General features: G+C 36.5%; 1 protein-coding gene across 16 annotated transcripts in view; it reads right to left on the bottom strand.

The window, feature by feature from the left end:
• PLS1 (plastin 1) overlaps positions 1 to 27227 on the bottom strand; it is a 117272-nt gene that overhangs the window by 11680 nt on the left and 78365 nt on the right. For all 16 annotated transcript variants that reach the window (XM_011512903.3, XM_047448323.1, XM_047448324.1 and 13 more), the window contains 8 exons: positions 25696 to 25828; positions 23872 to 23953; positions 17814 to 17979; positions 17590 to 17732; positions 15609 to 15701; positions 12172 to 12367; positions 7438 to 7516; positions 3918 to 4032 (listed from right to left, as the gene is read on the bottom strand). In XM_011512903.3, the coding sequence (XP_011511205.1) occupies positions 3918 to 4032; positions 7438 to 7516; positions 12172 to 12367; positions 15609 to 15701; positions 17590 to 17732; positions 17814 to 17979; positions 23872 to 23953; positions 25696 to 25828 (1007 nt within the window). The remainder of the gene's footprint in view (positions 1 to 3917; positions 4033 to 7437; positions 7517 to 12171; positions 12368 to 15608; positions 15702 to 17589; positions 17733 to 17813; positions 17980 to 23871; positions 23954 to 25695; positions 25829 to 27227) is intronic.

The raw sequence follows: 27227 nt of genomic DNA, 5'->3' as shown, positions 1-27227 counted from the left end.
CTTAAAAGAAATATATGCTGTAAGAATGTAGACTTTAAAAAATAGAATAGATTCCTAATTTATGGAAAATAACATTAGCACTTGAATTATTTAACACTGTGTACAGGAGAGTAAAAAGCCAGCATATTTACCATGGACACCCAGTTCAGTGGGAGAATTTTATAGCAAACTGCAGTAATCACATGTGTAAAATGTGTTTCAATGAAGAGCCATCTGCTTTACAGTTCTACCAAAGTTCCTAAGGGAGATGATGGTGAGAAAGGAGTTCAGGGTTGCTAGTATAGAGGCCTAAGAATATATTGATAGGACCAGCATTGAAAGAGAAACTGGAAATAGGTGCTAGCATAAGGGAAAGCATATATTCTTTTATGGGCAATATTTGGTTCCAAATTTGGCAGAACACTTCTAAGAGATCTAGAGAGGTACCAAACTAGAGAAAGAATGAGAAATTAGGTTCCTAGAGGTAATCCATGTGTATGGTAGTACAGGTTGAGCATCCCTAATCTGAAAATCCAAAAATCCAAAATACTCCAAACTCTAAAACTTTTTGAGCACCAACACAATACTCAAAAGAAAAGCTAACTGGAGCATTTCAGATTTTCAGCTTAAGGATGCTCAACCAGTATACTGCAAATATTCCAATATCTGAAATATGTCTGGTCCCAAGCATTTTGGATAAGGGATACTCAACCTGCAATTAAAACACTAAAAACAGATCTGCTCCCTGAGGGTGTAAATATAAAAGTTAAGACCTTTGGCCCAAGAACCAGGCCTTGGAAATACTGAGTTCTCAGGCTAAAAGATGAAGAACCTATGCAAGGTAAGAATGAGCACAAAGAAAGCAAGAAAAACTTGGAGTGCAGTCTCACAGAGTTAATGGAAGAAATGATTACTGTATTAGTCTGTTTTCACACTGCTGATAAAGACATATCCAAGACTGGGAAGAAAAAGAGGTTTAATTGGACTTATAGTTCCACATGGCTGGGAAGGCCATAGAATCATGGCAGGAAGCAAAAGGCACTATTTACATGGTGGCAGCAAGAGAAAATGAGGAAGATGCAAAAGCGGAAACCCCTGATAAAACCATCAGATCTCTTAAGTCTTATTCACTACAATGAGAACAGTATGGGGGAACTGCCCCCATGATTCAAATTATCTCCCACTGGGTCCCTCCCACAACACATGGGAATATGGGAGTACAATTCAAGATGAGATTTGGGTGGGGACACAGCCAAACCATATCAATTACCAAGTACTTTAAATGCTTTGGACAAAAATGAAGCTTAGATCATTTAGACAATGAGAAGAGTTACATAATGGGACACAAGGGTTCAAGTGAAAAGAAATACTTAAAAGTAAAGAAGGCCGGGCACAGTGGCTCACGCCTGTAATCCCAGCACTTTCGGAGGCCAAGGCGGGTGGATCACGAGGTCAGGAGACAAGACCATCCTGGCTAACACGGTGAAACCCCGTCTGTACTAAAAATACAAAAAAATTAGCCGAGCGTGGTGGCGGGCGCCTGTAGTCCCAGCTACTTAGGAGGCTGAGGCAGGAGAATGGCATGAACCTGGGAGGCAGAGCTTGCAGTTAGCCGAGATCATGCCACTGCACTCCAGCCTGGGCAACAGAGCGAGACTCCATCTCAAATAAATAAATAAATAAATAAAATAATAATAATAATAATGAAGAAGAAAGGCTATTTTAATGGTGCAGCTTTAAGAACTTTGTAAGCGAAGGAAAGTGACATGTATTGATTATTGCCCAAATTCCATAAAATAATTCCCTGTGATACTGTGTCATGAAAGTACTGCTTCTTCATTTTTTAAACATCTTGAATTTATTTCAGGCTTTATGTTTCATTCTGTATTTGTTGAAAAAGTATTCTGCATATGATTCATTTGTGACATATGTATTTATTTGTAGTTCACATTAAAATTCCAGGTATAATGAATGGTTAATTTCTGTTTTCCTGTTACATTTTGCATTCAAAATTTTGGAGAAAAAACTTACATGAAATTAGTCAATAAATTTTCTGAATTCTACTCCCATGAAAAGAATTATATGCAAATCAAATGAAATTAAAAATGCAGGCAGTCCAATGACTAGAAATGCTGAAACATACGAGTAACTCTTTATAATTATACCACCCATTTAACTACTTTAATATTATGATGTATTTCCCTTTAAAAGTCTTTTAAAATTTTTTTCTTTAAAATTAGTGTCTATAAATACATTTTCATTCTATAGATGTGGAAAACTAAAAGTCCCTTTTGAATACATCTCTGTATGTGTTATGTATTTTGAACAAATTAGATTCATATTATGTATATATATAATTTTGTGTCCTGCTCATTTCCATACCACTATTACTAAAACACTATTTTTTGTTTGTTTGATTATACTTTAAGTTCTGGTATACATGTGCAGAACATGCAGGATAGTTAACATAGGTATACATGTGTCATGGTGGTTTTCTGCACCCATCAACCCATCATCTAGGTTTTTGTTTTGTTTTGTTTTGTTTTTTGAGACAGAGTTTTGCTTTCTCACCCAGGCTGGAGTGCAATGGCACATCTCGGCTCACTGCAAACTCTGCCTCCCGGGTTCAAGCCATTCTCCTGCCTCAGCCTCCCGAGTAGCTGGGATTACAGGCACCCACCACTACGCCTGGCTAATTTTTTGTATTTTTAGTAGAGATGGGCTTTCACTATGTTGGCCAGCCTGGCCTCGAATTCCTGACCTCATGATCCACCTGCCTTAGCCTCCCAAAATGCTGGGATTACAGGTGTGAGCCACTGCACCTGGCCCCCATCATCTAGGTTTTAAGCCCTGCATGCATTAGGTATTTGTCCTAATACTCTCCCTCCCCTTGCCCCCCAACCCCTGACAGGTCCAGGTATGTGATGTTCCCCTCCCTGTGTCCATGTGTCCTCATTGTTCAACTCCCACTTATGAGTGAGAACATGCAGTGTTTGGTTTTCTGTTCCTGTCAAACACTATTTTTAATGGCACATTTTACTTCATCTTATGGGTGTATCAATTTTATTAACCCTTTACTGAACAACTAGGTTGTTTTCTTGTGTGCTGTATAAACATTGCTATGATTAGCATTTTGCCACCCAACTTTGTGTCTTTCTGATTTTTTCATCAGGATAGGTGGAAAAAGGTGAAATTAGGTCAAAAGATTTTTTGGAAGATTAATATGTATTGACAAACTGGTTTTAGAAGGATTATACAAATGAATACTTCCTCTTACATTGGATGCAGTTCAATAGTTTCTTGTTTTAAATTGCATTTCTTTATTCTGGGTGAAAAGTTTTTCATATTTCTATTATTCATCATTATTTTTCTATGAATTGTTCATTCATGTGTCTTTCCCATTTTGCTATTACTATTTCAGTAGCTCTTCAACTTTCTTCCCTAGAACTCATAATATTCACTTTTGTTTACCATGTACCATATTGTAGTTGTTTGCACACATATTTCCCTAATTTATTTAGGCTTTCCTGAGGACCAACTCCATGCTTTATACTTTTTTTTTTTTTTTACATCCTGCATAACACTGTATAGGTATTAGGTAATTGATAAATATCTGTTGAATAAATGAGTGGATAACCAATAAACATTCAGAACGTTATACCAATTGTAAAAAAAGAATACATTTACAGGACATCTCAAAGAACATTAAGTACTATGACTTGATAAAGATGAAAATAGTTATATAAAGTGTCTGACTAGAGGGATTGCCTTCATCTTCAAATTTATTAAAGCAAACTTGTAAAAAGGCTATTAAGCTTAACACATTTTGGTCTGAATCAGAATTGTGGGGACAGAGCACGTATAACTTCATGAAACTCTAAATTCTTTGTTTCATATCAGAACAATAACAATATATCCATGGCCATTATTTCATTCACCTTCTTCATGTTCCCTCCAAGGGCAGGATAAGGAGGTTTGTTGACATGGCTCCAGTTGACTGGCACTCGGATCATCTCATAGAGCTGAAAGATCACTAAAGCATCTGCAAGGTCACTGAAGCAGGAAGGAAAAGCAGATAAAGGAGGAGGAAATGTTGGGTATTACCTAATTTTATTAAGTACACTGGAGATAGACTTATATCTTTAAGAACATAAGTCATTTAATTCTTAAAGAATGACAGGACATATCATTTGACCCAGAACTTCCAGTCTAAGAATCTGTCCAAAATGTTTACATAAATATTTACAAAGGTATACATCCAAGGACATTCATTGCCACAATATTTATAAATTTGGAAACAACTTAAGTGCCTGGCAGTAGGGAGCTGTTAAGTAAACTATACTATAAACTCCTTGGCCACCATTGGACATAAGGTAGATCTCTATGTATTGATATGAAAAGCTTTGCAAGACATATCAAATTTTAAAAAGAAAATGGCAGAACACTTCATACAATTTGATCTCATTTATTTAAAAAAATTTAGAGTCAAATGTATTTATGTACCTATATATGCTAAGGACAGTTAATAGCAATTACCTCTATTAGGTAAAGAAAGAGGTCAGGAAAAGGGGAGTATGAGAGAGTAAGGGTGGAATGTTTTATTTTATTCCATATACTTACATACTTCCTAAAACTTGTACAGTAAGAATAAGTTCCTGTATTATTTATACATTATTTTTTAACTTAAAACATAATTACAGGAAAATCACAATAGCTACTCAGTAGGCAGCTGTTTGTGTTCGGGAATGAGGGTTAAGAGGAAGGAACTTATGAACAAGTAGGAATTCTCAAAGTAAAAATATTACTACTTTGGATTCAGAAAAATATGTTCTCCTGAGAAGGTTAACGTATGGCTGTTTAGTCTATTTTCAATGCTGTATGCTAAGGACATAAAGCAATAGCAATTGATTTTTTAAATTGCTAGCTTTGTGATATATTATATGGCTTTTCTCCTCCAACAGCTTGTCCAATAAGTTATGTTTCGCTAAGGTTCATATTAAATTACTTTGCATTCTCTGAGCACAAACCATATGGCAGTGAAGGGAGCTGGGCCCAGTACTGGGTGATAGAGGGAGAAAGTCTGATATGAAGGTAATTAAGATCTGAATAGATTATCTTTAGGCACATGAAACATTCTGTATAAAAAAAAATCACTGAAGTATTTCTATAGGTTCTGGAATCTTATGTTTCATGTATTTTTCTTTTTTACTTTAAATGAATTCATTCTCATTCCTGTCTAGTATGGTATTATTATTATTATTATTATTATTATTATTATTATTATTTTGCAAATAGAACTGAGGTCCAGAGAGTTTAAATGATTTCCAGAGACTTCAAGATGAGTTCTAGAACGAACTGGTCATAGAAAAACTCTAGGACTAATAGTTCTTGAAATATATAACATTTTAGAGAAGAGAATTTTCAGTGAAAATCTAGCTGTTTTGGTATGGGCTGGCTATACTATAGGCAGGAACCTAAAAATTCTTGGGGGTGGGTTTAGGAATATGATGCAGACACAATTCTATGGACACATGGTTCCAGTGTCAACTAGATGTCCACCTATTGTTCTTCTACATCTGACGGTTCTCCAAGATTATGTTACTTTTAAGAATTTTCTGAAAGTAACAGTTCTTTTTGCAAGAAAAAATACTATATGCTCAGAAGCCCTATGCTGGTATTTCTTGAATAAAGATATTCTTCAGATATCTTTAGCTAAAAGGTTTGGTCAATTCTTTTCTCCACTGTCAGTGATAGAACTCTAGTGTTCCTGACATTTATGAAATAATTACATGAGTATCAACAAATCGATTTAATCTGCTATTTTTAAGCTTACTCTTTAATTATAGAAAAGTACATGCTCATGGTCCAAAAAAATGCAATCATGTTTAAGTTACTAAGATTAAAAGTAAAAGTCTTGGGCACGGTGGCCCACGCCTGTAATCCCAGCACTTTGGGAGGCCGAGGCAGGCAGATCACCTGAGGTCAGGAGTTCGCGTCCAGCCTGACCAACATGGAGAAACCCCATCTCTACTAAAAATACAAAATTAGCTGGGCGTGGTGGCACATGCCTGTAATCCCAGCTACTTGGGAGGCTGAGGCAGGAGAATCACTTGAATCAGGGAGGCAGAGGTTGCGGTGAGCCGAGATCACACCATTGCACTCCAGCCTGGGCAACAAGAGTGAAACTCCATCTCAAATAAATAAATAAATAAATAAATAAATAAATAAATAAATAAATAAATAAGTAAGTCTCCTTACTATTCTCTACTCCTACTACCCAGGCTACATAGAGTTTGCTATGTACCTCTCTAGATTTTCTTTTAAAATTCGAATACAAATATCCACACACTCAAATTGTAAACAAAATGGGATCATACTAGACCTGTTATTCTTTTTTCTTGACTATATATTATAGACATTCTTTCAAATCAGTCCATAAAAAGTGAATCCCTCCTCACCTTCAATATTTGTGTTTTAACTTCCCTGCTACTGTAACAGGAGCTCTGGTCTAATTGACGTATATCTCCTCATCCAGCTGAAATTTACACACTCTTTAAGAGCTTTACAAATATGGGTCTATCACATCAAAGCCAGTTACCATAATAAGGTAACACTGGTTTTCAATTTTAAAGAACATTGTGAATAAACACCAAGGAGCAGAAATTACAACATCATAAATCCTCAGTGAACCAGTGAACTTGGCCTGTTGTGACATTAATCTTCTTTAAGGAGTTAATCATAATCTTGTTTAAGGAGTTTCTTGGGTATATAAATTATTAATACATTTAGCTAATTAGAACTTTTTTCTAAAAAAAAATACAACTAGCTGAAGTTGGCTTATTTTGCACTTTATCAAGGCAGGCTGGTAGATTGTATAATAAAGAGAGAAGAATGGTTTCCTCTCATCCACACTTAGAAAGATGCATCGTTAGCCCAGGAGTTGATTTAGTAAAATATTTTCTTAGCCCTACTAATGTCAATAATGTGTTATCATTTTTTAAACAAGAAAGAATGAGATAAGCTATAACAATTATTCAAGGAAAACAAGTTACTTTTACAAATTAGAAAAAAATATACACAAAAATTATGGAATAATTAAGGTTTTGGCAAAAATAAATGAAAAATGACATAATAAAAATACTGATATAACAACAATTTATCAGTTATTACTGTTACTCTAATCTGTTAAAGTTGAAATTATTTTTACAATCAATAACTATAAAAAAGGATTATCTTTACTGATTTACGTATATCATCAAAAACATAACTATTATTCCTTTTTTGAATAGTAGCTTTCTTTTAAAATCCATTGTATTGCCAATTCCCAGCATCCTGAAACTCTAAAAATTGGCTAAAATTCTTGCAACTTGAGAAAATGTTCCATTTAAACATGCCTACAGTTTGAAACTTGAAAAGTTGGACCCTGACAGTAAAGCTGAAGCACAATAAAATATTTACCTGTACAAATGATTAATGTATGGGTTGACTCCCAAGGAATTCATCCAGTTCCGAAATGTTCTCTCTTCCTTGCTCTCTCCTAGAGTAGACACAAGCTCACACTGATGACTCAGGACAAAAGGAACCAGGAACTATATGTTAAACCATTCTAGCAGGTACAAACTGGTCAAACCTACCTTGCCATGGTTCTTTAGATACTACAGTTTCTTTAAAGGGAGAAAAAAAGTCTCTTAATGCCAAAGTCCCTTCTTTCCTACTATCTAGGAAGCCTCCATTTGCTCTAAATCTCTCCTTCTAGATTCCCTTTGATGTCTGTGAACTAGTACTGAGCCATGGGTTTCTCTACCTAGAAATAACAGATACACTTCTGTGGTCTATAATTATGATTAGATGCAAAAGGGATTCACTAAACATTAATAAAAACAAAATGTTTTCGCAGTCAGGGTAACATTAGCACATTAAACACAAATAGAAAAGTTATACCTTTCTCGGTGCAGTGTTTCTAAATTTGTACAAATTATGGTTTTACATAGGAAAGTTTCTCAGCACACAGACCTACACTTTACACCACACAATGAAGGGCAGAGGGGATTACAGGTAAATATAAAAACACACAATGAGGGGAATATAACTATTTTACAGGCTTCCTGAGTTAGTTTAGATTATCATTACTGAAAATACATAAGGAACACAGACCCAATACAGGTTGATAAGAGAAAGACAGATTTCATCATAGTAAGTTCCTGGACCTCAAAGATCCCCTCAAGGAGATAACTCCTTCAGGTGCTGTTATTTAACCATACCTCCCTGAGCATTCCCTTTGTAACAGTGCTTACATCATCTATAAGGAAAATGCGGGTCATAGTATACCACAAAGTGAGCAGGGATGTGGGCTGGCTCTGCCACTGTCTGCCTTCTAGTCATCTCCTGACTGCAAATAGTTCTAAGTAACTATCATGATTATTTGTTCTTCGGCAAAGTTATTAGACAGTGGAATGGCCTAGTTTACATCTTATCAGCAGACTCCTGAAAAACTGAAACATTTACACCTGTCATCACTTCTAAGTTATAGGCAAGTTCAAGTCACTCTCTAGATTTTGGCCCATGTGAGACTCACAGGACAATTTGGCACATAAATCTATAATCATCTGCGTTCCAGGGGCTCGTTCGTATAGAGCGATTGCAACAGTCATCTTCACATTGAGTGCCAAAGACAGTATAAACCTGCACACCCATGATAGGAACGCAAGCCTTGTCAGATCTAAAGGATTCTGTTATTTGTGCCAACTGTTCAGGAAATCATCTACCCACTGTAGTTTCATGTGATTTCAATGCCATTATCTAACAGCTTTCCCAGAATCTGCTTTAATTATTGCTCTATTATGTAGCCCTATAATTTCTTGCTTAAATTTTGTTCCCTCTGGTCTGCATAAAAGGTAACTGATCAGTCTGTTGTATCTGCTACCACCACTTTATAATAAACAGTCTACATGAGAATCTTTTTTTAAGAATAACCAAGCTAAACTAAATATTTCTAGAATCCATGCCAGCCTTATTTGTAGGAATTATTAAACAGGTACAAATTAAATCTATGAACTATCCCCAAAGTGACATAAATATAAACATACTATGATCAATAACTTGATGCCTTTGATTTGGATTTACCTCTCAGTTGTTTCTCTATCTATCATAAAGATATATATATATATGTTTCTAATAGTTACAGAAGTTTTACATTATTTCCATCTAGGAAAATCTAAATGTCTTAAAATTATGAAGATTAATAGTGCCATAATGGTTTAATTTTTAATTAAAATATCCAAATTCTGTTGAACCTAATGATGCAGTGAATAATATTTTAAAATAACTAAACTTGCATTTTGATTGAGTTCTGAAACTATCTTCGGGGGTTCATATTTCTTCCTATTGTTCTCAACTGATTATATAATTATTTTAATTTTTGATACCTGGAAAGTAAAATAGATTTTATAAATGAGCATTTATTTATCTAATAACATTTCAAAGTGTCTTGGTAAATAAATGCTCAAAGCTAGAGGCACTATGCATTTGTGCAACAGCCATGGTAAAGCATTACAAAGATATATGTGTTCCAGATTGGAAAATGTTGTCTGGATTATAGACAGCTAAAGCAATCTTAGAAGTAAAACCTTTTTTTCCCCCTAGATCTGATATACAATTTCAAGAAGTAAAATCTTAATTGCTGATATACAAGATTGAAAGAACTATAAAACATTCTTTTCATTTGCAGGCTCAATTTGACGTCTACAAATAATAAAAAATAGTAATAAAAATAACAAATATCTTAGAAGTAGGTTACTAAGAGGGAAAAGAGGAGTTAACATATATTTAACACTCAAATGTGCTGTGACATATGAAGTGCTTTCCTCCTCCCTCCCTGACCATTAATAAACACATACTGTATTCTTCCATTCATGATCACATTTAGCTTGCTCTGTAACTCTTCAAATTAAGTTTATTAGTCTTGTTTTATATATGAAAAAAACCAAGGCTCACAGAGGTCATTCAGATTAAATAGTGGAACTATGATTTGAACAAAGTCTGATAGTTTATGGCCTGTGTACCTTCTGTAATCATAAATGAATTCTGAGATGATCTTTCTGTACGTAGCCCACATATCTGGTTCAATTTGATGTGAGCGTTTAATATTTAATTGTGTTTTATTTAATTCCCTAGAGAGAAAATTCTCTGCCAATGAGGACATACTAACATATGAATTTGGGATGTGATATGATCAAGCTTCAAATTTCATAAGGATATATTAAAACACAAATTTACAGAGGAAAATAATCCAATGACAGTCAAAGTCAAATACATTTTTGGCAGATGTATGAGGACATACATAATAAAGATGACTGATAAATATTTCCCATGTTATCTTAATAGACAGTAAATAATAATGGAAATATTTAGCAATCCTATTCACACTGAAAAATTCCAAAAGCATGCTGAACACTAGCAAAAAGAATTCAAACATGAAAAATAAGAAAGCGAGCAAGTTGGAAAAGATACCTAGCAAGAATTCAGTGACTATAAAAAGCAGATCATTTTTAATATGCCACTCTAAACAATGCCTTCTACTGACAGAGGGATTTTGAAATTTTCCAGACTGATAAAACCTAACAGTGTTGCTTTTGCTTATTTTTTTTCAAGTTCTAATCTCTCACCCTAAATTTCTCTTCGCTGAAAAATCTACATTTTTTGTCTATTTTCCCTCTCAGTTACGTATCTACATAGAAAATATAATCTTTATTTTATTTTACGGGACCTTCAAGAAGAATGAATTACTCATATTCTTTGAAGAATATATTTGTTAAATCTGAAACGTCGTTCATTAATCACAAAACTGTAATTATGAGGTGACAAGGACACTGGAACTTTGGTTATGGCAGTCAAGCAGAAAAAGATCATGAAATTGATTTCTCATTCTGTCTCACTGGGAAAGAAGGGATAAGTGTGAGTTTTGTGAGAGAATGAACACTGAGATCATGAATACCGCACATCATACTCTCCCCACCAAGAAGAATCCCTGCTTTCTCCAAACCAGGGCAATTAGCAAGAAAAATCTTAAGATTGGCGCCTTCCTCTGACAACTGCCTTTCCCTTCAACAACTGCCATTACCACTGCCACTGTTTTTACTTTAAGTTCTGATACTAATGTGGGTGTTGGTATGTATGAGAGTGGGAAAAAAAGAAAGGCTGGGAAACAAATGAGTAAGAACTGGGTATTGAGAATGTTTTGTTATTATGATTCATATACTGTAAGCTTCAATGAGGTTCAGTAAATATAACATAGCTAATTGATACAAAATAATATGTTATAGAACCTAAATGAATCCTTTCAAAGATTACTTGACATTTTGTCACAGGAGAAGGATAAAGATTTTACATCAAATCATGAATTCCAGTTCTCAAAATTGAGTTCTAATGTGTTTACAACTACAATATCCCATCATTATAGAAGGCAAATTAGGTAGAAATTTTACAAAATCAAAGCTTTGTTCTGCTATTCTAATTAAGTTTTATTTGTGTTTCATTCTATGGGCATATTAAGAGAGAAATAACACAGCATGAACAATGCAAAAAGTAAAATATCAACCCAGATGGAAAGAATAAATGGTACTAATAAAAAGAACATTCAGAATGAATATATTTATAGAGTATAGAAAAGTACTAAATACAGTACCTACATTAGGAGGGGTCAAATCTGCATTTCATGAAGCAAAACAGGAAAGTATTATATATTATGAGACAGATAACGATAGACCACACAAAAGACAAATAACGAACACTGTAATTTTTTTCATGTACACTAAAAACCTTAAAAAGAGAACAATACTAGAGTCAAACTGGACCTTTCAAAGGAGAAAAACACCTACAAATAATTATTTTATTCTAATAGATAATTCATTGTCCATGTTGGTGGTAGAGCTGTTATGTGATCATTTATGAGAATATTTTAAATGTATGATAGTTTTCACTAACCTCTTATGGAGAAATAAAAGATTTACCCCAGCATTCTCTTTTAACCAAAACCAGCAACCACCTTCCATAATTTTAATTTTTCAATAGATACACATACCTACACACACTAAATTGCATTTCCCACCACAATCCCCTATCTCTGACAGTGAAGTAAGACAATACCATAAGAAGATAAATATAGCAAGTCAATTAAAGGCAGAAAGAACGCACCTTCCAGTAAATTCATATCGATGTCATTATTATTCGGCTTGTGCAGGCACGGGTATGTGTTAAACAAATTAGCTACAAAAGCTAAATTAAGTTTAGGATTGCCTGAAACCACATCTGCAGGAGTAACAAACTGTTTGCAGCCCAGTTTATCTGCTTCTTGAAGCATGAGTCCAGCACGCTTCAGGTCATTTGTCTCCTAAACAATAAAACAAAAATGGTTACAATTGAAGTTTTAATTGGCATAATTTTTATTGGTATACATGTTTATAAGCAATTACTTTTCCACAAATATATCAAATAATAACTCAAAATAAGATCAAAATGTGTAGTAATTCCAAGTCAACTTACCCATTCCTTTATTTATTTATTTATTTATTTATTTATGTATTTAGAGACAGAGTCTTGCTCTGTTCCCCAGGCTGGAGTGCAGTGGCGTGATCTTGGCTCACTGCAACCTCTGCCTCTTAGGTTCAAGTGATTCTCCTCCCTCAGCCCCTGAGTAGCTGGGATTACAGACACATGCCACTATGCCCAGCTAATTTTTGTATTTTTAGTAAAGACAGGGTTTTGCCATGTTGGCCAGGCTGGTTTCGAACTCCTGATCCGCCCACCTCGGCCTCCCAAAGTGCTGGGATTATAGCCGTGAGCCACTAAGCCCAGCCCCCGTGCCTTTTAAGTTAAAAGGAAAAAAGTCTCTGAATTTCCTTGCTGGGATAACTGAGTTATATTTTACCCTTTTTGCTAAAATACTCAGCAAAATCCTCAAATATTGTATCAGTAAGCTCCTACTGGTTGCACTATAGATAACTTATTCAAGACCAGCTAGTAGAGTGCCCTCTGGATAACAGGCATAGTTATCATACCCACTGTACACTGAGTGACATTTCCAGAAGGCTCTTCTTGATGAAAAACAAGTTGAAATACATATTTTAAAAATTAAAATCATAGGGAAAAGCACCTTTCACAATTGCAAAACCCTGGAAACAAATGAAACAACCCAAATACCTATAAACAGGAGAGTAGATGAATGAATTTGTATATTCACACAATGACATCCAATATGGGTAACTCTTAGAGATACAAGGCCAAAAAGAAGTACTAGAAATTTAAGTATAACATGATAAACTTTAAAGGAAGTTAAAAAGTAAAATGAAGAATTTAATTTTGTAAGGGATACATTTGGATGAAGGGAAACTACATAAAAAGAAAAGCAGAACAACAATGAACACAAGATTCAAGACTGTGGTTACCACACTGGGCGAAAACCGAGGTGGGATAGGGAAGAACTGTACAGAAAATGTCACGTCAAAGTTTTAGTTTTCCTGTTAGATTGAGAGTTCATGAGGCTTGTTACAATTTCAAAACAAACAACCACACACAAAAATAAATTTAAAAATGGGTATGCACAGACCCATATGAGTATATCATGACCAAAGATAACCTACCTAATTCTGTGCACCAGAGTTGCAAAATAATTAATCATATAAATGAAATCAGAGAAAGCAACAGATTATTAAATTAACAAAGAAAAGTTACCATTGTAGACATCAAAAAATGACAATATGTGGCTGGACGTGGTGGCTCATGCCTGTAATCCCAGCACTTTGGGAGGCAGAGGCAGGCGGATCACTTGAGGTCAGGAGTTTGATACCAGCCTAGCCAACATGGTGAAACCCCGTCTCTACTAAAAACACAAAAATTAACCAGGTGTGGTGGTGTGCACCTGTAATCCCAGCTACTCAGGAAGTGGAGGTAGGAGAATCACTTGAGCCCAGGAGGCGGAGGTTGCCATGAGCCAAGATTGTGTCACTGCACTCCAGCCTGGGCGACAGAGCAAGACTCCATCTAAAAAAAAAAAAAAACAAACAAATAAAGACAACATGTGGACCTTATTTTAGATCCTAATTCAAATAAACTATGAAAAAAATGGCATTTATGAGGCAAGTGGAAATGTCAACATTGACTAGATATTTTGATGATGTTACAGATTGTTGTAATTTTTTTAAGGTATGATAAGGTATTGTGGTTTTATTTTAAAAGTGTCTTTGTCTTTTAGAAATATATATTGAAATATTTATCCATGAAGTAATGTCTAGGATTTGCTTCAAAATAATATAGGAGAGGAGAGAAATAGGGAATAAACGAGATAAGATTGACCATGAATTGGCAGATGTTGAAACTGAGGGATGAGTACCTGATAGTTTAGTATACTAAGTCTGTTCTCTTGAATATATTCAAAATTTTCCATAAGTTTAAGTTCCTAATTTTTTTACTTAAAATGATTTGCACATTTTACAGAGCGTTGCAATACTGTGTTTCTGAAATATGTCATTATAATAATGTGAGATATAATTAATTAGTAATGACTCAAGTTGCCTTTAAAACCAAATGTTACGGACGCCGCACTTTAAGTACGTGATATATTTTCATACAGTCTATTATCTGACCAAATTTTAATGTTTAGAATTCAAGTTTGTCCAACCCACGGCCGGTGGGTCACATGCGGCCCAGGACAGCTTTGAATGTGGCCCAACACAAATTTGTAAACTTTCTTAAAACACTAGATTTTTTTGCACCTTTTTTTTTTTTTTAGCTCATCAGCTATTGTTAGTGTTAGTGTATTTTATGTGTGGCCCAAGACAATTCTTCTTCTAATGTGGCCCAGGGAAGCCAAAAGACTGGACATCCTGATTTAGATAGAACCATCCCTGGTATTTATAACTTATGCTAAAAGAATGAGATTCCTAGGAAGTATGCTTGGTAGGTCAGAATCTGTATCAGTCCTTCCTACACCATGAATATCTATTTTTATTTTGTAGATTTCTAAATATAAGCTGGTAAAACTGATAATTGATTGCTTAAAAATCTAACAACAGGTTGTTGCTTCCTTTCCTGGCATATGCTGACAGTCAAAAGAGCACCCTGGTGAGTTCCAATTGCCTTGCACCAGGGAAACATGAATGTAGGATTGATTCCACAAATACTCCAGGTCACAATTACGCAGTTCCCTTTCTTCCGTCATGATAGCCAGTTGGCTTGACATGGAGGCTTGGAGCCTTGGGCATGGAAAAAACTTCCATAGAGCAAAGCACCAAACTTTAATGGAGGGCTGAGGGCTCTACTGGGGAATGCTGCTTGTAGAGAACTGTACTCTAAATTTGACTGTACCTGCTACTGAAATTCAAATTCATAGTCAAAAAGTAGAACAGTAGTTACCAGGGCCTGGGGGAAGGGGAAAATGGGGAGTTATTGTTTAATGAGTACAGAATTTCCCTACAGGATGATGAAAAGTTTGTAGAGATGGATAATGGTGATAGCTGCACAACAATGCAAATGTACTGAATGCCACTGAACTGAACACTGAAAATGATAAAAATGGTAAATTTTCTACGTCTGTTTTACCACAATATATTTTAAAAGTTAAAAATTGCACTCACATTAATTCCTGAAAGGTCAATGGCAATGGCAGGTCCATCTTCCCCACCTTTAGGGGCAATCTGATTAAGCAGATGAAAATAGGCTCTCGAGTCCTTCAAGGAAAGATATGAAATAGCATTTTTAAAACGAATAAAATCATCATTGAATTTAGGGAAAACAAGTGCTCAAACTGAAGAAATTGCCTCTATCTCAAAGAATGGAATAACTTTAAAAATAAAGAATTACTTGTAGGTTCCTGAATGTACCATGCTGTTTCACACTTCAGAGCTTCAAAGCAATCCTGTTTCACACCTCAGAGTTTATAGCAATGCTGTTTCCTGCACCTGGATACCCTCCCTTACTTTTCCATCTGTTTACACACCCAAGCATCAACATCAGTTAAGATTCAGGTCAAGTATTATCTCCCGTATGCCTTCCCTGGATTCTCTAGGATGAACTAAGAACCCCTCTTCTGTAGTGCACAGCACCCCTTGCCTATCTTAATAAGTAAACAGTGATCACACTATTAAATCATCTAATGTCATTGTCTCCAAAGATGGATATATAGTTCTTCCCCATGCATACATTAACTCTTCCCACCAAAAGGCAGAAGCTATTTCCTGTCCTCTTTAATTTGGACAGGCCTTATGATTCACGTTAACTAAGAGAATGCTGTGAAAGTGATGTTCTGGGGCTTCCACGCCCAAATCTTAAGAGCTTCTGCTTCCTCTCTCTTAAAGTTAACCTCTACATAAGAAGTCCAACTATCTGAGACTATCATGCTGTGAGGAAGCCTGAGCTCACCATGTAGAGAGGCCTTGTGGAGGAGCACTGAGGCACCAGACATGTGACTGAGGCCTTTGTGTACTTTCCAGATGAGCCCAACTGACAGCTGAATGTAATCGAGTTAGTAATCCCAGCCAAAACCATGTGAAGCAGAAGAACCACCCAGCCAAGATGCATCAACCCACAAAATGATGAGAAATAATCATTATTTAAGCAAATTTTGCATAATTTGCTATATAGCAATAGATAACTGAAATATCCCTCTGGTACATGTTTGTCTCTGAGTAGAATTGGCAAGCTTCTCAAGAGCTGAGTCTTTGCATCGCCTGGGCATAATGCCCCTCAGAAAGAGCTGAATAAATGTTTGATTAGCTGAATTTTCAGAGATTTCAGAATAAGAGAAATCTCCCAAATAAACTTTCAAATATAACAGTGTATAGTAGATGAAAGCAGAGAAATAAAATGTCACTTCAAATTGAGAGACTGTCCTGTAGGCCATTATGGAAAAAGATAACCTGACTGAAGGTTATATAGCTAAAGACGGAACATGAATTAGAGCCAGCACTGATTACTCTTGGGGGGCAGGATGGGGGAGGACATAAAGAAACAGAGAGAAGAAAAAAGTCACAGCGACCCGGCTTGGCAATGCCCATCCAGGCAGTAACCAAGGGAAAGTTGTCATTAGACAAAAATGCCTGTTATAGTTTCCTTGACAAGATTCTCCCAGTAGAGAGGGAAGTGTTTTAAGCTACCCTGGTTAAGGCACATACCTTAAGATCCCCTTTATTTACTGATTCTCTGTACCCTCAGATAATCTGATTTCCTGTTAGCTGGTTATTGGCAAAGTGGGAGTAAGAGTGTTAAACCAGTAAACAGATATAATTATTAGTCCAAATGAACAGACTGACATCCTCATTATAATCTAGCAGATCTCAGGCATAAAAAATGAGAAAGTGTGTTTTAATCTGTTGAGGCTAGCACCTCTTTCCTCTCACAGTCAGTTGTAGTTCTTATTAAAAGCCAATATATCTGGTTTTTAGAAAATATATATTTTGTGAATATAATTGGGGGATCTACTTCACACAGTAATGCAAATTTTCATTTTCTATCCCAAGTGTTCTTGTGAATTTAATTCAAATTTAAGTCTGAACCCCTTTTATTTTTACACTGCACATCCTTATTTCATGTCACAAATTTGAACATTTAAATATAAACCTTAATGTCTTGGCTGAAGTTGCTGATGGTATGCCATCCTGCATTGGTCAGATGGTAGTTCACCCATCGCAGCAGTAATTCCTCGGGAGAAAGCTTCATCAGCTCCTCTAGTTCCTCACCTTCATTTAACAATGCAATCAGAGCTGAGGGCAAAACAGCGAAATGTAAATTCTTCCCATAGCAAGTACATGTCAATGAACAGCAAATATTTCTAATGATCTTACCTTCATTCCTGGAAATCTCAATATCAGCAAAAAGGCCAACTTTGATGATCTGCCAGAGAAGTCCCAAGACCAAGTGAGGTTTTCCTTCTTTGAGATCTGATGCACCAATGTTGACCACTGTACAACCAATGGCTGAGGCAGAATTCAGAGCTAGGTTTAAATTTTCCTGAATTGCCAAAAAAAAAAGTACACATGAGGAAGTCCTTTCTAAGGTCTTATCTATAAAAATTATCTATAAGAAACAATGGACTGCCAAATTTCAGATTTATAAACATAATATTTATACAACGAAAATACCACTACTCAAAAAAAAAAACACATGGTTTTAACTGTTACTTTATATGCCAATGACTTTCAAATCCCTATTTCCACCCAGACCTCCTCTGAGTCTCCACTCTAAGCTGTGTATCTATATATGTACTTGGTTATGTCTACCTGGATGTTCTGCCAATACCTCAAACTCAACATGATATTTTTGTAAAGTGCTCATTTGGAAGCACTTCTTTAAAAAATGATGTACAATTAGGTTTTAAGATAATTTTAAAGTAACTCTTAAGATGGATTTTACAGATGAGGAAACTGCAGCACTGACAGTTTCCACAGTGGAAAGGCCGGGGTCTGATCCCAGCGGTCTCCCGAGCCCATCCTCTTTTTTATTTATTTTTTTTGAGACGGAGTCTCACTCTGTCACCCAAGCTGGAGTGCAATGGCACTATCTTGGCTCACTGCAAGCTCCGCCTCCTGGGCTCACGCCATTCTCCTGCCTCAGCCTCCTGAGTAGCTGAGACTACAGGCACCCGCCACCACGCCCGGCCAGTTTTTCGTGTTTTTAGTAGAGATGGCGTTTCACCATGTTAGCCAGGATGGTCTAGATCTCCTGACCTCGTAATCTGCCCGCCTCGGCCTCCCAAAGTGCTGGGATTACAGGCGTGAGCCACCGCACCTGGCCCAGAGCCCATCCTCTTAATCGCCATGCATTACTGCCATTCTCATATTGTAGCAGTAATAGCGACAATTTAATGGGCTGGTCACAACAGCAGCAAAGCATAGAGGTTCTCAAAGCATAGTGAATATTTCAGCAGCTTCCTCCTACAGTGTGCTGAAGTGATTTATTGAGCTCCAAGTAAATAAATGGCTGTATCTTTGGGGGATCGTCTGGGGCGATTAAAATTAGCATTTTGAATTATTTTGGTAGTAGTATTAAGCAATGTTCATTTAAATATAGTTCTCCTGAAAGAAGCAGCAGAACCAGAGAAGCCTTCAATATTTTTATAACCTCATAATTAACTACAAATAAACATAAACATGAAAAAATTAACAGCAAATTACAAATACTTTGTGGAAATCTAAGATTTTTAATAACTTCAGGTGTTTTTAATTAACACTCCTGCTTCAAATGTTTTTTAAGTTACCTTAAATCAAATCTATGCAACTTTCAAGAGACAGCTTCTGCTGATTTAGGCATGACCACTAATATTTTTCTCTTTGCTTCCAAGAGCATAAATGATGTTTGCTCCAGTTGTGATTCCCCAGAATGCATCAGCAGGGGAAAGAACTGGACTGAAAATTAAGCCAATAATAGTATTAACCTCACAATAACCCATGTCATATGCAGTTGACAGCATGGTACTGTGGGCCAAAAGAAGTGTGTAATTTCGCTAAATTGATTGCAATACTAGTAAGAACCAAAACCTACCACTACTCTCAGCCTGGACAATGACAAACAAAACCACATCTTACTGCCTACATTAATATGACCTTGTGTGCTATCCTCTTGTCTTCACTGGCATGACTTTACTCTCTGTCTTCATTACCATGATCTTATTCTTCCAGGAGTCTTGACCCTAGGCAAAAGGTCTGATTTTTCACTGCAGGCGCTACCTAAAAGACCCATTAACTCTTCAAATAAAACATCAATGACAGTTTATACTCTAAGATTCTTTGACCTCCTCACCTTAAAATCCTCCCCTTGCTATTGCCACCAATCTTGGGCTGCTGTATTGAGAATCTTGCCCAATCTTGCCCTCTTGCCCCCTCTCATATTGAAAGACCTGCCCTAAACCACAATTCCAATTCTCAGATGCTGCCCTCACTTTCCCAGCACCAAGACACTAACAAAGCTTTGCAAGTATTTTCTCTTACTGCATTAAACAGTTAACTCAGCTTTGTCTTATCAACGGGTTGTGTTGGTCATACAGGAGAAAAACCGCTTTTGATGTTAATTTTATCAAAGATGTTTGCTTTACAAGCATATCAAATGTCTTAAAGTAATTTGGCTTTAAAAATGGGTAGAAAATAAGGAGTTGCAACATGTTTCTTTCAAGTAAATGGTAGTTTCTACTTGATAAATACAACATTATTGCCCTACCAGTTAGTAGGGAATGGAACGGCCACACTAAGCTACTTCTAAACATCTTAAGAACAAGAAGTAACAGGAGAACCCCATGGAGAAGTTGCTATACAATTCTTACCATGGACAACTGCCCTGAATGCCCAGCCTTCCTGAAGACTCGTGTTGATGCGGAAAGATAGGGAGAGTAGGGAACCACAAACAACTGGTGGCAACACAAGAGACACAAGAGAGGTGGCCCTGCCTTCTTAGGGCAGTGGTACATGGTTAGGCTTGGACTGTCTAACAGGTTCCCTCATTTCCTGTAATCTTTGAGAAGTAAAGAATTGGATGTTGACTACATGGCTTTCTTGTCCCCTGCTTGCTAATAGGTCAATAATGTTGCATATCACTAATAGAAATTACCATTCTTGAAGAAGCCTATTTCCAGTTGCAATTGCCAGATTATTGTTCACATGTTGTACTGGGATCTTCATCTAATATCCATGATTACTGAAAATATTAACATCTATCTTATTTATAGAATATATACATGACCTTTTTTTGGTCACTCAATCTGAAATACAGCATTTCTTACTATCGTATACATTTATTGCTTGGTTTTACTTTAATATTTATATTTAGTGCATTAAAGAAAATAAAGAAAAAATATTCTATAAGTATTTTGCGGTAGCCACAGAGTGGATCTGAGAGGCTATCATGCAGTTTTATTTTTAGATAGCACACTTCCAAAATATGCAGGGGGTAATAGTCTATAGAAGACTAGCTTTCTATAGAAGACTCAACAATTTTAGTGAAATCAAGGATTGCACTTGCCAAATGAAGGACACAGGTTAACAGTAGCTGAATTTTAATAGCTACTATTGTAACCACACCTTAAATAGTTGCTATTACTACCACCACATGAGAGTGGCAGTGTAACACAGTGATTAAGAAATGAGCTCTGGCGCTAGACGACTGGGATCACATCCTGGCTCTGCCTCTGTATAACCTGTCAGTGCCTCAGTTTCCTCATCTATAAAATCATAGTATATACCTTATTATAAAGTTGCTGGGAGGATAATTTACATAATGTGTTTAGAACAGTGACTGATACCCAGTAAGTACTCAGTAAATATTAATATCCACTCATTGTTCTAGAGATTTTGAGGGGGAAAGTGTGGTAAGTATAAATACCTGGACTTATACAAGATCTGTATGGAGGAGCCAACTACAGAACAATTTAGTACAAAAAGATTAGTTTAAAATTTTGTGAAATGATAAAACTGCAGTGTTCTTTTTCAACCACCTAATAAGAGCACTGGCATCAAACAGGTGTTCATTAATAAATAATTCAACAATTACAATAATATAAACTGAATACTACAGCTTAAGTAAGTGCATCCAAAGTACCTTGAATCTTCATTTCATTCATTACAAAATCCAACTGAATTTTTATTTAATAAAAATCCAGTTTTGGCCAGGCATGGTGGCTCATGCCTATAATTCCAGCACTTTGGGAGGCTGAAGCAGGAAGATCACTTGAGGCCACTAGTTCAAGACCAGACTGAGCAACACAGCAAGACCCCATCTCCACAAAAACTTTAAAAAATTAGCAGGGCATAGTGGTACATGCTTATAGCCCTAACAACTCAGGAAGCTGAGGTTGGAGGATCACTTGATCCCAGGAGTTTGAGGTTACAGTGATCTATATTGGGTGGCATAGCAAGACCCTCATCTCTTTAAAAAACAGTTTTTATAACAGACAAACAGAGAGCCAAATCATGAGTGAACTCCCATTCACAATTGCTTCAAAGAGAATAAAATACCTAGGAATCCAACTTACAAGGGATGTGAAGGACCTCTTCAAGGAGAACTACAAACCACTGCTCAATGAAATAAAAGAGGATACAAACAAATGGAAGAACATTCCATGCTCATGGGTAGGAAGAATCAATATCATGAAAATGGCCATACTGCCCAAGGTAATTTATAGATTCAATGCCATCCCCGTCAAGCTACCAATGACTTTTTTCACAGAATTGGAAAAAACTACTTTAAAGTTCATATGGAACCAAAAAAGAGCCCGCATTGCCAAGTCAATCCTAAGCCAAAAGAACAAAGCTGGAGGCATCACGCTACCTGACTTCAAACTATACTACAAGGCTGCAGTAACCAAAACAGCATGGTACTGGTACCAAAACAGAGATATAGATCAATGGAACAGAACAGAGCCCTCAGAAATAACGCCGCATATCTACAACTATCTGATCTTTGACAAACTGGAGAAAAACAAGCAATGGGGAAAGGATTCCCTATTTAATAAATAGTGCTGGGAAAACTGGCTAGCCATATGTAGAAAGCTGAAACTGGATCCCTTCCTTACACCTTATACAAAAATTAATTCAAGATGGATTAAAGACTTAAACGTTAGACCTAAAACCATAAAAACCCTAGAAGAAAACCTAGGCATTACCATTCAGGACATAGGCATGGGCAAGGACTTCATGTCTAAAACACCAAAAGCAATGGCAACAAAAGACAAAATTGACAAATGGGATCTAATTAAACTAAAGAGCTTCTGCACAGCAAAAGAAACTACCATCAGAGTGAAAAGGCAACCTACAAAATGGGAGAAAATTTTCGCAACCTACTCGTCTGACAAAGGGCTAATATCCAGAACCTACAATGAACTCAAACAAATTTACAAGAAAAAAACAAACAACCCCATCAAAAAGTGGGTGAAGGACATGAACAGACACTTCTCAAAAGAAGACATTTATGCAGCCAAAAAACACATGAAAAAATGCTCATCATCACTGGCCATCAGAGAAATGCAAATCAAAACCACAATGAGATACCATCTTACACCAGTTAGAATGGCGATCATTAAAAAGTCAGGAAACAACAGGTGCTGGAGAGGATGTGGAGAAACAGGAACACTTTTACACTGTTGGTGGGACTGTAAACTAGTTCAACCATTGTGGAAGTCAGTGTGGCGATTCGTCAGGGATCTAGAACTAGAAATACCATTTGACCCAGCCATCTCATTACTGGGTATATATCCAAAGGACTATAAATCATGCTGCTATAAAGACACATGCACACGTATGTTTATTGCAGCAGTATTCACAATAGCAAAGACTTGGAACCAACCCAAATGTCCAACAATGATAGACTGGATTAAGAAAATGTGGCACATATACACCATGGAATACTATGCAGCCATAAAAAATGATGAGTTCATGTCCTTTGTAGGGACATGGATGAAATTGGAAATCATCAGTCTCAGTAAACTATTACAAGAACAAAAAACCAAACACCACATATTCTCACGCATAGGTGGGAATTGAACAATGAGAACACATGGACACAGGAAGGGGAACATCACACTCTGGGGACTGTTGTGGGGTGGGGGGAGGGGGGAGGGATAGCTTTAGGAGATATACCTAATGCTAAATGACGAGTTAATGGGTGCAGCACACCAGCATGGCACATGTATACATATGTAACTAACCTGCACATTGTGCACATGTACCCTAAAACTTAAAGTATAATAATAATAAAATAAAATAAAAATAAAAAAAAGGATTCCAAAAAAAAAAGTTTTTATAGGAGAATAGCATTACAATTAAATCAAAGGTTTTATCTGGGTCCAAGCATTCATTAATAAAGGTCTTATATTTCTCAGCATAGTAACATGATAATAAGCAAAGGGCAAATACTTACAGAAATAGTGAATGGCGTGAGCTTTTTCTTATTGATGGCTCTTTCATCAATTGTATCTGGTTCAGATAAGTTGATCATTTTGCTAAAGAGAAAATGAGAATAATTTAGTTTAATACTCCAAGAAATTTTTTTAGTTTATTATTGCAAACAGCCAAAATAGATAAATTTTGAAAATAACAATTCATTACTTTAAAATATTAAACAGTAAGCCAGGCATGGTGGCACATGCATATAATCTCAGCTACTTGGGAGGCTGAGCCCAAGAGTTTGAGGCCAGCCTGTGTAAAACAGAGAGACCTCATCTCAAAAAATAATAATAATAATTAATTAAACTATAATTCATGCCGGAACTTAATTCTTAAAATCCAAGAAATATTCCCATTCCTAAAACAAATCCATCACTCACTGCAATAGTAATCTAAGCATTTCTCCTAATTTTTTTTAACCATCCTGAATTTTCTTTTTTTTTTAAGAGGGAGTCTACCTCTGTCACCCAGGCTGGAATGCAGTGGTGTGATCTCAGCTCACTGCAACCTCCACCTCCTGGGTTCAAGTGATACTCCTGCCTCAGCCTCCCGAGTAGCTGGGATTACAGGTGTGTGCCACCTCTCAGCTAATTTTTGTATTTTTAGTAGAGATGGGGTTTCACCATGTTGGCCCGGCTGGTCTCAAACTCCTGACCTCAAGTGATCCTCCTGCCTCAGCCTCTCAAAGTGCTGAGATTACAGGCATGAGCCACCACGCCCAGTCATCACCCTGAATTTTCTTTATGTTAGTTTTGTCTTTATTTCACTTAATGATCATCAGTATTCCGCAGCCTAAAACAAAGAAATTCTCCAAGAAGCCAAGTTTCATAAAGTAGTATCAACACTGTTAAAATTACTGTTGTTGCAGAAAGATACGAAGCCAGAGATTTCATCTAAGACCAATAATTTAGACATTTTCAGAGAAATTAATATAAATTTTGTCTCTATATTTTAGAATTTTACCTTTTAAAACAAGAATAGGAAAATACCCATTTGGTTCATAATAGGAATTTCTCTGAGAGTCAAAGAAAGATAAGAATTGTAGGTGGAGGTCAAGGTATATTTTATATTTAATGTCATAAAATCTAATATCCTGTACTTATGGGTAAGGTTTTGTTTTCCTTTTTAAGTAAAAACATAAAAAAAAAGACTGAAGGAAATGTGTTAGAATATTAATAAGTCATTTATGGGTGGTAAGGATATTTTTGATGGTTATTTTCTACTTTGTAAATCTTTTGTACTTTTTATAAACTAAAGAAAAGACCTCTGCTTTGTCCAAAGAAGTATGCTGGGACTGTGGTACACACAACAATGACAAAGACATTCCCTCAGAGAGTTTACAACATAGTGAGAAAAAATAGAATGCAAAGAGCCAAGGATAACACAAGGCTGAATCAAAACATTATTTTCATTTAGGTACAAATAAGGAATATCTTCCCTTTACATTTCCTCATGTCCCATTCCAGTCAATAATCAATACTCGCTTACTGGAAAAAGAAAAGAGAAACCCTGCGAATATTTAAAACTGCATCAGACAAATAACTCAAAAGATTCCTGGCAATTATTATAGTAATACACGTAAAAGGCAACAGAAAAACAAGGGATTGTATTTGAAGGAAAATTTTGGAAATTTTCCAATAGATATACAGTAGTTCATTTTCTATGCAATATAAATTCCTCATGACCTAAGTAGCTACTGACTCCAAAAGACAATGGACAGCTGAATTGGAGTTTTCATGGAATGCTCATCAATGTAATCAGCAAGAACGCAGCTTCCTTAACCAGAAGTTCAACTCACCAAAGAAGGATGCCATCTGCAAGTGACTTGAAAAGACTATCATCATTGGGATTCATGGGTATAAGATGCTTACAGTCAGGGTCATTCTCCAGGGCTTTGTTTATCCAGTTAACAAAAGCCACTTTTTCTTCCTCTGAAAGGAGAAAACCTTGGTAGGCAAATCTCATTTCACAAACTTTATTGCACTATAAAAACATACATAGCTATTGCACTACAAAAACATACTTGTTAATTTCTGCTCAAAGATAATAATTGACCATTATTACAAATCTACTAAAACACAAAAGGGTTCAAGAAAAGAAGAAAGGTGGCTGGGTGTGGTGGCTCACGCCTGTAATCCCAGCACTTCCCAAAGCACTTCCAAGGCGGGCTGATCACTTGAGGTCAGGAGTTCAAGACCAGCCTGAGCAACATGGAGAAACCCCCGTCTCTATTGAAAATACAAAAATTAGCCAGGCATAATGGCACATGCCCATAGTCCCAGCTACTCGAGAGGCTGAGGCTTCAGGATTGCTTGAACCGGGGGGTGGAGGTTGCAGTGAGTGGAGATCCTGCCACTGCACTTTAGCCTAAGCCACAAAGAGAGACCCTTTCAAAAAAAAAAACGGGGAGCACGGTGGCTCACGCCTGTAATCCCAGCACTTTGGGAGGCTGAGACGGGCAGATCACGAGGTCAAGAGAGCAAGACCATCCTGGCCAACATGTTAAAACCTCATCTCTACTAAATAAACAAAAATAAATTAGCTGGGCATGGTGGCGTGGGCCTGTAATCCCAGCTACTTGGGAGGCTGAGGCAGGAGAATGACATGAACCCAGGAGGCAGAGCTTGCAGTGAACCGAGATCGCGCCACTGCACTCCAGCCTGGTGACAGAGCAAGGCTCTGTCTCAAAAACAAAAACAAAAAACAAACAAAAAAACAAACAAAAAACTGATCTATTAGGAGAGATGAAGGTATATATCTTAAATGAGCACAATATATATTTGGTTTGATTCAAAAATATTTCCAAATATGTATTGCTTCTGAAAGCTAATGAGTCAGAAGCAGACCATCGGAGGTCAAATATGTATATGTTAATTAAATAAGGAAAAAAATACAAGAAACAAATACCATGGCAATAAATCCCATCCTCCCCAAAAGGTTTAGAGAGCTGTGATTTTTAGCTTACAACAGAAATACTGAATTCAGTCAAGAGTTATTCAAATGAATAAAACAGCTCAATTTCAATGGAATTTAACTATTAAAAAATTGACACAAATTGGCTGGGTGCGGTGGCTCATGCCTGTAATCCCTGCACTTTGGGAGGCTGAGGTGGGCAGATCACCTGAGGTCAGGAGTTTGAGACCAGCCTGGCCAACATGGCAAAACCCCATCTCTACTAAAAAATACAAAAATTAGCCAGGTGTGGTGGCAGGCACCTGTAATCCCAGCTACTCTGGAGGCTGAGGCAGGGAGAATTGCTTGAATCTGGGAGACGGAGGTTGCAGTGAGCCGAGATCACGCCACTGCACTCCAGCCTGGGCAACAGAGCAA

This window comes from Homo sapiens, chromosome 3 (assembly GCF_000001405.40).
Source record: "Homo sapiens chromosome 3, GRCh38.p14 Primary Assembly".
Classification (NCBI taxonomy): Eukaryota; Metazoa; Chordata; class Mammalia; order Primates; family Hominidae; genus Homo; species Homo sapiens.
The sequence above is the reverse complement of the archived record's forward strand: the minus strand, read 5'-3'. Positions and strand labels throughout refer to the sequence as shown.